Source organism: Homo sapiens, chromosome 2 (assembly GCF_000001405.40).
Source record: "Homo sapiens chromosome 2, GRCh38.p14 Primary Assembly".
Classification (NCBI taxonomy): Eukaryota; Metazoa; Chordata; class Mammalia; order Primates; family Hominidae; genus Homo; species Homo sapiens.
In genome coordinates, this window is record NC_000002.12 from 144384081 (window position 1) to 144397417 (window position 13337).

At 35.9% G+C, this 13337-nt stretch overlaps 1 protein-coding gene across 2 annotated transcripts in view; it reads right to left on the reverse strand.

Annotated features, from left to right (window-relative positions):
* Positions 1 to 13337, reverse strand: part of ZEB2 (zinc finger E-box binding homeobox 2) — a 136039-nt gene continuing 122702 nt past the window's right edge. For both annotated transcript variants that reach the window (NM_001171653.2, NM_014795.4), the window contains 2 exons: positions 12332 to 12512; positions 1 to 5948 (listed from right to left, as the gene is read on the reverse strand). In NM_001171653.2, the coding sequence (NP_001165124.1) occupies positions 5371 to 5948; positions 12332 to 12512 (759 nt within the window). In that variant the 3' untranslated portion in view covers positions 1 to 5370. The remainder of the gene's footprint in view (positions 5949 to 12331; positions 12513 to 13337) is intronic.

Consider the following 13337-nt stretch of genomic DNA (forward strand, 5'->3'; position numbering starts at 1 on the left):
TCATTTGTCATCACTTTAATCTTCATGTATTTTTTACTCATCATTTTCTTTGACTAAAATTATTAGAATCTTTGTCATATTAATCTCAAGACCAAATCGGAACAGTAGTGTTCATTTTCTATTTTCAGTATTTTGGAGCATTTTAACATGTCATGCTAGATTATAGGTAGTAGGCGACTCGTTTAATAGAGAAAGTTTTAGCTTGTGGCATATTCAGCATCATATTATCTCGGTGCCATTTCTCTGACTAATTCCACATTTCAGATACAAATGAAGACTGAAGGATTTATTTCTGTTATTTAATAGCATTTGTTTAATTCCGAGATTAATATATCATCTTCAACCCTGAAACAGAGGCCCTCTGAAACATCAGACCCAAAAAATTGGACACAGCCTACTAGCCCAAAAAGAACATGTTGCCAATTATCTCCATGTTTATTTAAATATTTTGCTCTAAAGGAAGCAATCATTCCTTTATACTTCTTTAAATTTAGTATTGACATTTTTATTTTGGGAAAGGAGGTCTTTTTTTTTTTTAACATGGATACAGGAAAAGAAAACTCTCCAATAAAAATATTGTCTAAAAAGTTTGTTTTGTCTGCATGATTTACTAAATATGTACAATTTCAATTCACAGCGAAGGTAACAAAGATTTAAACAGCCAACATCACAAATGTCTCAAGTTCTAAAAAAAAATCACTGTGCACAGTTTAACAATTTAATTGAAAAAACCAAAGCTAAGCCTTCAGTCTGAATCTTTTTTTATGATGGGCACAAGCCATGTATTTTCTTCATCTTTGTTACACGATGCATATTTCAGTGACTAAAAGCCCCTTCCCATTTTAGTATATTAGGTTATGTCAGTACATACTTAAGAGAGGCATAAATTGCCTCTTGGTACACCAATATGATTTGTGATGTGTTCACATATATGTCATAATATTTATTAATATATAGAATGATCAGATGAGTCACCTGTGATTTTTCTTAATGTCTTCAAATGTAGGAATGTTTTGTTGCATGTATAAAATTTTTCAGAATTTATAGGAGTGCTTATATAAGCGATAATAATTGGACCAGTGTCCCTTGATGTAAGGTGTCTAGAAAGAACTCTTCTGCTCTTGAAATATAGAGATTTCACATCTCTACACAATACAGGTTTATAAAGTTTGCTATTATATGATCAAGTGAGTGAACCAATTAATCATTAGAAACAAATGTCATTGAATACAGAATAGTTGAGTTACAGTTAAGAAGGGAGCCATAACCTCAGCTGCCCTATAAAATCTATAATAAGGTGGTTTTCATATATATATTTTTTCCCCATGTGAATTCTTTGGTGTTTTTTCCCCCTCTTTTTTTAGTGCTATGATTGATGAACATGCAATGTGAGATTCAAATAATTGCATTGAGCATGTTTATTTGAATAATTGCCCCATTGCACAATAAATAAATCCGCTGAGTGTGTTTGTTTGAATGTTTTTACATGTACATGGGATCACATAGTCAAATAAATGCAGCTGTGTTTATTACAATGTGTGGGGCTCCAGATATACACACACTTGTTTGTGTGTATATCCAGGGCCCTACAGCCCCTGAATGGCCTCACACATCTTGGAGCAAAAGCATGGTTAACAATTTTTCAGTTCAAATACATGTAAACTTATTATTGGGCAGTCTCCTCAAATTTGTGACTAAGATTTGCTTTTATTAAGGCTTACATTATTAGAAAGATAAAAAATGACCTTTTTAAAAGTTATCTGATTGTGAAAAGTATCTAATACATTTATTCATATTTATTCAAATATAGTCCCTTCTTTCCCCTTTCCTCCAAGCCCTCCCACTCCGCCCCCAGTCCAATTCATGCTAAGGAAGATGTATGTTTTGTTTAGCTCTTGCGGAGAAATTCTGATACGCATCTCTCTTCCCAGTTATTTCAGGCCTAAGCTTACAGTGTCATGTGAAGAAAAAAGAAAAGATTGCACAGATATGCTAGAATACAAAAGGCTCTTGGAGAAAATGGGCAGGGGTGTTCAGTTGTTCCAGTGTTTCCTCATCCTCCCCTGCCCCCTATTCGAGGGGGGAAAGGTTAGATTTAGAACTAAGCGTGTGGGAAGAGTAAGTAGTTGATAAAACAGAAGAACACATCTGATGTTACTAAAATGCACATCTCTTGGTTGTGGAGGGGAATTTCTTGTTTGCGACCTTGGAGAAGAATCTTAAGACAAATCAAAAGTTTTTATTTTTCCCTAGAGTTAGAGGATTATGCAGCCCTAATGTGCAATCGTGTCCAGCGGATAAATAGCATTAAAAAAAACTCCTCAGATATGGGACATTGTAGTGATTGTCACAATTCACAAGTGTTATCCTGATATTTTCAGACTCAGGTATTCTGAGCCTGCCTATGAAATGGAGTTAGGAACAAATGACAGAGAAGGGGGTAACAGGAGGGGCAAGGCAGGGTCTGCCCACCCTCCTCTACTTCGTGCACACTTTCTTCTTTCCAAGGAGAAAGAGTTAGGTTGCACATTCATTGTTTGTTGGTCCTATCTCTTGTGGATTGGGACACAGATATGCCCCATGGGCAACAGAGACCTACATTGCTTTAAAAGAGGCCACAGGGATTTATTCTACCCGGACAAAATTTAATGGCTTGATATTTTCAGGTTGAATTAATAAAGTTATCGCCTAGAGCCTTTCAAACCAGAAAAATTTATGTAGTGTATTTATTTGTGCCATTCAAAGAAGGAGAAACGAGGATAGAATTTTCTAAACTTTCCAAATATAAAAACTCTAGGCTGTGGATAACAGGAGGCATAGCATTTTGATGCCACTCCTCCCCCTGCCCCCCCCACCCCCTCTGCCAGAAAGTTTGAAGATAGAGCTAAAAACATGTTTTTCTAAAAAGGTCTGCTCAACTATTACTGTATCTTCATTACATCCTTTCTGTGTATGTGTGTGTGTGTATATATATATATATATACACACACACACATACACACTTTCTATTGAGTTTCAAGTTGCAAAGAATGACTTTTGTGAAATTTAGGAAAGTGGTATTATGGCTAAGGAATAAATATAAATATGTTGTTCTTGCCAACTGGAAATATCATACTCAAAATTTTAGCAAATTTAATAGCAAAATGATGCTTTTCTTCTTTGATTCTAAAGTAGAAAAAATACATGGACAGCTACTATATTATAGTTCTGTATATTCAAGAGCTGTAAATTTGATAAGGTAATCTGTTTTTTCTGTTATTCTTCACTTGGCAATTAGATTTAAGAAGCAGAATCTAGTTTCTTGATAAAAGTCATTATGTAAAACCTACGAATACATTCATATTCTGAATATTAGGGTCATCTTGTAAAAACTGAAAAACTGTCTTAGAAAATCACGGTTATTTTTGTTAGCATTTGCTTTTAGCTTTTCCTCTCCCACCCACGCCTTCTAGTTTCAGATAAACGGTAAACTACTGTCTGCATTTCAAAAAGTGAGATAAACTATCCCAATCCTTTAAAAAAGGTTACATATTATAAATAACACTGAATAATAGCTGTCTTTTTGAAATTAGACTTTTTTTTGAATAAATCACAAAGACCCCTTGGACAGAGAAGTGAATTTTTAACACATAATCTCTAAATACTCGTAATGCAAAAGTAGAAATGTCTGTAAAGTAAATAGACTAAATTTGAATAATATAACCTCACATAAAAATACACAATCTGGAATCAGGATCAGTTGAGAAAAGCTGTAAAATTGCTGTACATAGGTATGGAATTTTAAAAAACAGTTATTGGTACCAGTCAAAATTATTGCTAAACTAAAATTATATGAAAAAAACATAATTAGCATTATTATAAGCATAAAGCATGTTACATGTTAATGGTCATTGAAGGAAAACTCTCTAAAAGTACAGAACTCATTAACTACATTCTTAGTTTGGCTACATTTTTATTCGAGCATGGTCATTTTCAAAAGAAATTACAAATTGAAAATTCAATAATACTTTTACAAAGACAATTCAGGAAAGATTTTTGTCATGGTATCATACATTGTATTTAACAGTCCCTCTTTTTAGCTAAAAAACAAGATGAAGAAAGTGGAATTTTCAGTCGAAAATACAGTGTTTTCACAAGATCGTATCAAAAGTTCCCAAATTTGGAATTTCCAGTAATTGGAAAAAAACAAAAATAAAATAATAAAATTGAAAAATCCCATCTCACAATTAATGTTCCAAAACACAATAAATGCTCTTCTCTTTACGTAAAATTTGCCCAAATGATCAACGTCATGTTCCTTTTTTACTAAAATATATCTATATATTGAAGAACTATAATACTGTACACTACAGTATGAAATAAATAAAATTAGGAAATATAAAATGAGCCACATAAATAAAATGTTATTTGACCTAAAATTAAATGAATGCAAAAAAAATTTTTTTGTTGCAAAAACAGTTTGGTGTAATACTGACAAAATTAATGAACAAAAAAGTACAGAAAATAATTGCACAAACATATGTAAACTAAGGAACTGCTGCCTATTCTTCTAATACTGACATGGGTGCTTCAAAGAACAGGGTGAGCTTAACACTGAAGCTGGTGCAAAGGTAACCCATGTTACCCTCTTAACACTGTACAAGGATGGCACTTGCAGAAACACAGATTAAAAGGTTTGCATATAAGGCTTTTAAAACCACCTTACAAAGGCTTTCTTTATTTCTCATCTTACTTTTTCCTTCACGTCCAGGTCACTTTAAGACTTCGGTATCTTAAATTCACACATGCATCACTTCAAGTTCCTTCACAGAAAAAAAAAAAAATTGAGGCCTAAAATTGTGTGGTTACTTAAGCTGAAAAAAAAAATGGGAAATTGATGAATAGCGAAAGGAAAGTACAGAGGAATCATAATACTGATGCATTGTAGTGCGAGCACATTAAATTAAAAAGGAATAACAATAATAATAATAAAAATACTGATGTATGGTAGTGCGGGCACCTTTTTAAAATGTATTAATATAAATTAGACATAGTTTTTTAAAGTTTGTAGTGATACATAAGTAGAGTGCAATTCTTACAATTTTCTAGTTGTGCTTAAAGTATAAATGCTATTAAACACAGGAATTAGTCTCTGAACCACACAGTTTTTAGGCCTTAACACTGTACAAAATTTTTGCATAATGCAGTTTTTAACAATACCCAGCTCCAACTCCGTCTACATCTGTCTTGGCTGAACCGCCCCTTCTGTCCCTCTCTACAGCTTCCTGGAAGCGTCAGGCACGTGCATGAACAGCTTAACACAGCAGTGTTTTCAAGCAGGTAACAATACTACTGGAAAAAAAAATAGGAAGCTTAAAATGCAGTAGTTTATTACATGCCATCTTCCATATTGTCTTCCTCGTGGTCTGATTTGGTTTCCATTTTCCCATCCTCCGAACTATCGTCCATGGAGTGATCTCCAGTCTCTTCTTCATCTCGTATCGTTTCGGGATCCGTATCCATACTTTTATTTTCACTTTCTTCCTCTTCCTCCTCGAACTCCTCGTCGCCATCCTGTCTGCCCAGCTTCCCGTAGCCATCCTCGCCTTCTTTCTCGTGCTCCTTCTCGCTCTCGCCATCCCTCGGCATACTCTCCCTCTCCTCCGAGTCAGAGTACCCCTGAGGGGTAATGCTCTGCAAGTAAGCCCGGTTCATCAGCAGCTCGGTGGGTTCCAAGTGCCCTTTCTCGCGCGCCTCGCGCTCCGCCGCTTCCCGCTCCTCCGCCTCCCGCTTGCAGTAGGAATACCTGTGATTCATGTGCTGCGAGTACGAGCCCGAGTGTGAGAAGCGCTTGCCACATTTATCACACTGATAGGGCTTCTCGCCCGAGTGAAGCCTTGAGTGCTCGATAAGGTGGTGCTTGTGTTTAAACGCTTTCTTACAAATCTGACACTGATGTGGTCTTTTTCCTGGGAGAAAGAACAAGATGACAGGGTGATTAGTGTCTTTGCATGAAGTCTCTTTCCACTAATTCTGTACGCGAGTCCAGACTCAGGCATAAGCGTGTGTACTTATGCCTGAAAGATCAACACACCCCGGTCTAATCGATGGAGAGTTAGGAAGATGCATTTCCATCCCACAATTTGGTTTTCTAATGCTTGCTGATGCAATGTAGTTAATAAACAAGAAGAACTTAGAAAGCTGCTGGAGGAAAATTCTCAGACAGGAAGCTTTCCATTGCTAATTGTCTCATTTTAAAACTTGGAAAAATGTTCTATTCAACAAGACATTTCTAGTGATCTAGCACATGTTTTCATCAGGTAATTCTCTTCCTTACATTTTTAAAACAAAGACTTGTACAAAAGTGATAAAGATGGCATCATCGCTGGCATTGGCATGTATATCCTCTGCTTGTTATATCATGAGATAGTTGCTTTGAAAGGGGATCTTAGGTCTTAAATGGGAGCAAACTGCCAAGTTAGGAGGGAGTGGAAGAAACAGAGGAAAGAGGATGTCAAGACTGTCTTATCAGTCATAGGAGTCTAAGAATAAAAATCAGAGAAGAAACCATTAGAAAATACAAATTAGGAGGGTGTATATCATGGAGGCTGAACTGATTCCAAATAGTGTTTTCCCTCTAAAGTTTTCCATAAGATGTCAGCCACTTGTTGAGTGTTAAAATACTCTTCAGCTAGGGAATGCTGTATTTCCTTTGGCATTCCAGGCAGTTTCTAACCAGTGTTTGGAACTTAAAGCCAGTGCCAAGCCTAAACACATCTGGTTGATTCCAGGCCACAAATAGCACTGGAATGCCTTCAACACCTTCCATAGCTGCCATACTTGAAAGTTTATTTCCAAAATAGAACTGATAAAAAAAAATTATCAGCCTGATGCTCCAGAGTTAAAGTCAGAAATGTGTCATGTAGAGTGCCATGGATCACTGTAACATATATGAAGTTGTATGCTTTATTTCCTAATACAAACTTGCATTTCAGCAAATTAAATTAAAACCCAACAAAGTAGATCCAATCCCATTTTCGTTTGCTAAGTGTCATGTTATAAGTTTAGGGACCCATTCTATACACTTTAGGTATTCAGTTATATGGTGATATAAAATCTCAATCAGTAATTAAATATCTTTAATAATGTTATTGAATGCCTCCAGGGCATGCCACTATTCGGAAAGTGCTGTAGACTGCTATATGTCATTTCATTAATGGTCTTTATTTAACTGGAATGTCCACTAGAAATTTAGTGATGATAAATGTAGTAAGGTATAATATTAGAGTAGAAAGAAGTTATTTAACTGGAAGAGTGGAAATCAGAAAGATATTTGTTGGTGACTACTAGTTATATGGGAAATAAAGACAGTTCTAATAACCTACTTCAAGGTAGCTCATACTCTGAAGAAAGCAAGTATAATTCAAACCACACAAGAACCATTCCTTAACTTTTGGAAAAGATGTTTTGAATGAGGTAAACTGGATAACAGAGAATCCCAATGGAGTGCCAAGAGTCTGCAAAGATAGCATGCTTTTCCATTTGGAAAGACACCGTGGTAGGAAGGTAATTTAAGAGGAAGCAGACGTGTATTTGGGAAAAAGACAAGAGGTTTTGTCTCCCGGGAAACTTCATGTCATTATGTTATGAATTTGGTCTCACTTGTGTGGACTTGGACCTTAAAGGAAAGGATGCTGTCAGGAGAAAGGATAAGACGTTTCTAGTCGCAGCAATTCATCCATAGGGGCAGTGTTAAATGAATATGATTATCTGGGTTCACATCCATCATTTATGACAGGCTGTGCATTCTCAGGCATGTTAACTTCTCTCAGGATCAGTAGGTAAAAGGAAGATCATTTGGGGACCTAACTCATGGACTGGGCATAAAGAATAAGGAAGACAACTTATATAAAGCATTTAGTACAAGGATTGCACATAGTAGGCAGTCAGTTAATGTTAGATCATGTTATTCTTATTCATTAATACATGTTCAATAATTTCTCAAGTTCTAAGTAGGACGCATGCAGCAGGAGCAGAGTACATGGAAGTAATAAATCTGAATAGAGAGAAGAGAAATTATAGATGAAAATTTTCTTGATGCTCTAGTTGCTACGGCGTGTATGGGCAAACTGTCCTACAACCTCTTTTGGATACTAATGTCTCATTAGCTCAGGAGCACAAAAAGGTCAACTACTTAGGTAACTTCTGGAAGAGACTGTATGAATAATTTTGAATGAACATTATGATATGGCTTTCTTTTCCAAAGCAACAAAACACAGAGCAGTGTCCAGAGAGAGCAAGCATCCTCTGTTATAGGTTTCAAGGCCCGTTAGCAATGCTTCGGGCATGCCCACTAAACTGCAGTCTGTCTTAGAGATATGCCTTGGTTATAGACATTCAATTTTCAGAGAACTCATTCGATAATAAACAGTATGCTTATAATACGCATATATTAATCCTGCATTATGAATTGACAACCTGAAAAAATAAAATGTTCAGTTATGATACCATGCAAAGGATAGAATCTGGGAGCAGGTGAGAGTTTTGACATATACCTTACACTAAATAGTCTACTGATCTCCAGAAGTTTCAGTGGTAAGCATTTAATAAATTCAATTTAAATAGTAACTGACTTGGACATTCATCTCTTTTTAACTTGTTTTGCTGGTTTACCTGATTCAAATCAAGATGTCCTAGAATTAAATTTCCACATGACCAAGATTCAGAACATCCAAATTGATACTGAGTGAATCAAGCTTTCTTAGGGTAAATATTTTCTCTAATATCTAGATTTGTGATTCACCTGACAGCTAGAATGGTAACTGAACTTAATAATAAATGAAAGGTTTGTGGTATGAAAAAAATTACCATATAACTGAGAAACAAGATTGACTGGTAAATTTATTTAAAACTTAGACTTATCTACTCAAAAGTAGAAACATTTGTATTACTTTTCTAAATAAGGTGGGTTTCAAAAGCACCTACCATGATGTCTCAACAGAGAAAGCACTCAATAAAGGTCAGATTTAAATTTTAGAATACAAATGAGTTCTTGACAGTGCCTAACAGGAGTTTCAGAGTTTTTAATTTCACAGTCCTTGTTTGTGACAATTAATTCTGTTGAAGTCAACATTTACATAGTGTTTCCCTCCTCTGTCCCAGTCCCAGGTCCCAGGAAAAGCAAGCAAGCAATAAGCCATTGGTAAGAAAAATGAAGCATGATGACTTTGGTATCTGCCTAGGAAATAAATTGAGGCAAAAAAAGCACTGGGTCTCAAGAATAAGTAGCTCATAATTTCCTTCTTAAGTTAAACGATTCTATATGTAAAATTGTAGACAGACATCACAAACACACTTTACCAAGGACACATTCATAATCAATGCATAATGAAATGATGATTCAATTTTATTTCCCGACCTTAGAATCAGTCAGTCCCAAGACAGTTCTCACTTATAATTTTCATCTTAGTGCATTCTCAAAATATTACTAGTGCTTAATGTAAACAAATGAAAGGCTAGTGGGATAGGAACTATCCCACAGGTTCAATTGGGATAGGAACATGGACTAAATTTCCACATACATCACATCAATAGAAAATCCATGAAGAACTTGATTTGAATAGAACCTAATACACTGACAGTAGTAATGTCATGAGATGTTTGGTCAAGTGACCAAAAAGTTAACATGCTGGAAACTTGACAAGTTGGAAAGCCAACAGGAAGATAATTAATCACAAGTTTAGAGCAACCATTGAATGATTAGCATCTTGTTGCTAGGCAATGTTTCGAGGCAGCAGCTCTCACATCTTGAAGGAGCAGAATAGTTTATTTTTACTTTAAAAAACAAAGTTTGTTTGTTTATTTATTTATTTATTTATTTGAGATGGAGTCTCACACTGTCGGCCAGGCTGGAGTGCAGTGGCCTTATCTTGGCTCACTGCAACCTCCGCCTCCCGGGTTCAAGTGATTCTCCTGCCTTAGCCTCCCAAGTAGCTGGGATTACAGGCATGCACCACCACACCCAGCTAATTTTGTATTTTTAGTAGAGACGGGGTTTCTCCATGTTGGTCAGGCTGGTCTTGAACTCCCGCTCTCAGGTGATCCACCTGCCTCTGCCTCCAAAAGTGCTGGGATTATAGGCATGAGCCACCGCATCAGGCCTGAAGTTTATTTTTCAAATAAATTATGCATATTTGTGTTTGTCAACTTTTGGGCCTCTCAACTATCTACAGACCTATGAAGGTTACAATTCTCTAATTTATAAGAAGTAAATATATTGACTGGATGTCAATGTGTATGACAGCCCTCACTAAAATAAAAGTTGTACACTCACCGTGTAGTAAATGATAGAGTTTGCATATGGTCATATAATAAAACCAATCAGAGAGGGAAAGATGCCTTCAGTGATGTGCCTATTGTAGCTGAATAATGGAATACAAAATATATTTAAGGTTGATTAAAATATTAAAATTAAAGTAAAATTTAGGTATGAAAATATCTTTACTTTGTAAATGCTTAAGTAGCACTTAGTACTAAAGAAAATATCTACACTAAAAGAAAATTTTGATGTTTCAAACATTGAATTATATAACACAAGTATAAAAGCTGTTTGGATTTAGATTGGGTTGTCTTTAAGGTATCATTAAACTTTTAAAATAATAACAATGAATATCAGACAGCTAAAGAAAAAGAAAACTGTATTGGTTGGAGTAAGAACCCTGTTATTTATCAACCTTGTTGCTTCACAAAAACCCTCCCCACACTATCAGGCTGATGCTGGTCACTTGAGCTGCCTCCAGCATGTGCCCAGTGAGGAATAATAGCCGATGATGAGTACGAGTACTTCCCAAGGACAGTTTTCAGTGACAGAAAAGAGTGCCTTGTATCTAGGTAGTCAAAATATGACAGGAAGTATTCACCTTCCCTTCGCTTTTTTTTTTTTTTTTTTTTTTTTGAGATAGGGTCTCACTCTGTTGCTCAGGCTGAGGTGCAGTGGCACAATCATGGCTCACTGCAGCATCGACCTCTTGGGCTCAAGCCATCCTCCTACCTCAGCCTCCCAAGTAGCTGGGACTACAGGCTTGAGCTACCACATCCAGCTAATTTTTAAAAAATATTTTGTAGAGTCAAGGTCTCACTATGTTGTGCAGGCTGGTCTCAAACTCTTGGGCTCAAGCAGTCTTCCTGCCTTGGTCTTTCAAAGTGCTGGGATTACAGGCGTGAGCTGCTGCGCCTGGCTCATATTCCCTTTTCTGTCTTCCTTCTTTTTCTTTTGTGCCTCATCATCGCTTTTCCCCCAAAAAGCTTTCCCCCCAAAGTGCTAGTTTTTTTTCCTCCATATTGAAATGTTTGATACTAGACTTCCTGGTTTAGAATGAGTTGTTTTCCTATACTCCCCTATTTTTTTTGTTCCCTCGTGCCAAAATTTTGACTGAGATCCTACACTTTTTCCCCCCCGATCCAGGGCTAATAGAGCATGCCAAATTTCCAGTGGAGAAGAATTGGAGATGGGCTAGGGGTAGGGATGAGGTTCAGCTACCTTATTGTTCAGGGAGGTGGGGATGGAGCCAGGGAGGAAACACAAGTGGAGCTCAACCATAGAGCTGCAGATCTTGGATTGTGGGAAGTAATATTAAATTACATATGGTACTTCATCTTTCTTTTCAAAAATTAACCCACTATCTCTCTACTCATAGTGAAGAATTAGGCTGTTTTCTTGTCAACTCTTTGTAATTGTTCCTAATTAGTAATGCATGAATTGGAAATATACTAATTAAAATTTAGAAAGTTTTATTTCAATCTTCCAAATATAGGTGGTTTCAAGTAGCTCATCTGATCTATTACTTTTCTTTTATGACACTAATGCCTTTAGTTCTTTCAAAATGTGGCGAATTTAAAAAAAAAAGGCAAACAAAATTACCCCTAAATTATGGCTTTCTTGGTGTTTTGGATGATGAAACTAATGTATTACTGTCTGAATTTCTTATTAGATTTTTACATATATAGGTTCATCTTAAGCTTTGAAACTTAAGAATTTGAAGGTATTTTCAATAACTGGCTGTGTCATGCCATTTCATTGCCCTGGCCATCTGACTGTCCCTTTGACATAATTTCTAAATTTGGTTTACAGAATAACTGGAAAGATATTAAGACAAGCACACTCATAAAGACATGAATGATCCAATAAACAGGCAACAAAAAAGTCCTACTGAGCTCGGCAAAAGCATTATTTCTTCCTTGTTGAAGGTATCAGCATATGTTACATCTTATGTTGCACAAGTGTGCTCATTAAATATTATGAAATGTACAGCAGGACGGGAAGCTCTAACCAGTTAGGCAAAGTCACTCATACCTGTGTGTTCGTATTTATGTCGCAGAAGGGAACTGCTTTTCTGGAATGTCTTGTCACATAAGTCACATGCATACATGCCACTCTCTGTCTTCTTGATCTTTTTGCGAGACAGACAGGAGTCGGAGTCTGTCATATCATCTAGGCCTGACATGTAGTCTTGTGCTCCATCAAGCAATTCTCCCTGCGATAGAATCACACAGTTCAATACAGTGGCTTCTCTTTGTGCTCACACCAAACAACTTCACATAGGGGGACATTTGGAGAACCTCAAAATTGCTTGCTACTAATTGATTGAGTTAAACATTTTTTTTTCCATGAACAATATATGAGGTCTCAATATGCAGTATATGCAACAATATACGCAACAAAAATATAAACTTCTCTGCCCTGGAAGGTAGATCTCACTGTTTTTTAAGGACAGGAAATGGTCAACTCTGAAGGTGAGAGAAACAAATTTTTCTAAAATCCTTCATTTCCTTTATACCAAGAAATACCCATAAGTGAAAATTTAACATTGAAATTTGTGTATTTTCCAGTATGCTTAACTTTAGAAATGATCTGTAGCTGTAGAAACCCGATTTTAATTGAATTTTATATTTAGGTACAAAATGTTATTATTATGCAATCTATTTAAATGTATGTCTACCAACTAAAGGCCTCAAGCTATATTTTTATATTTAATTTTCTAATTTGAAATAGGGAATATTAATAACACTTTTTATCAATGTTCTATGTTAAAACAGCCTTCAGCATTGAACATTAATGAATGTGGATCAGTAAATTATTAAATTTCTTGATATTTATTTTGTCTTGATCCAAAGGAGTGCAAACTTGCATGATAACATACATTTCCATTTGCTAGCCCACAGTTCAGTTTTCTTAGACTATGTTTGTACTAATTAATATTAGAGAAGATTAAATAGGCTTAAATACATTTACAAAGAGGGCAGATGTACTGTAAATTGGAATACTGGAACAGCTGTTACAGAGGTGCACTGCTACTTAT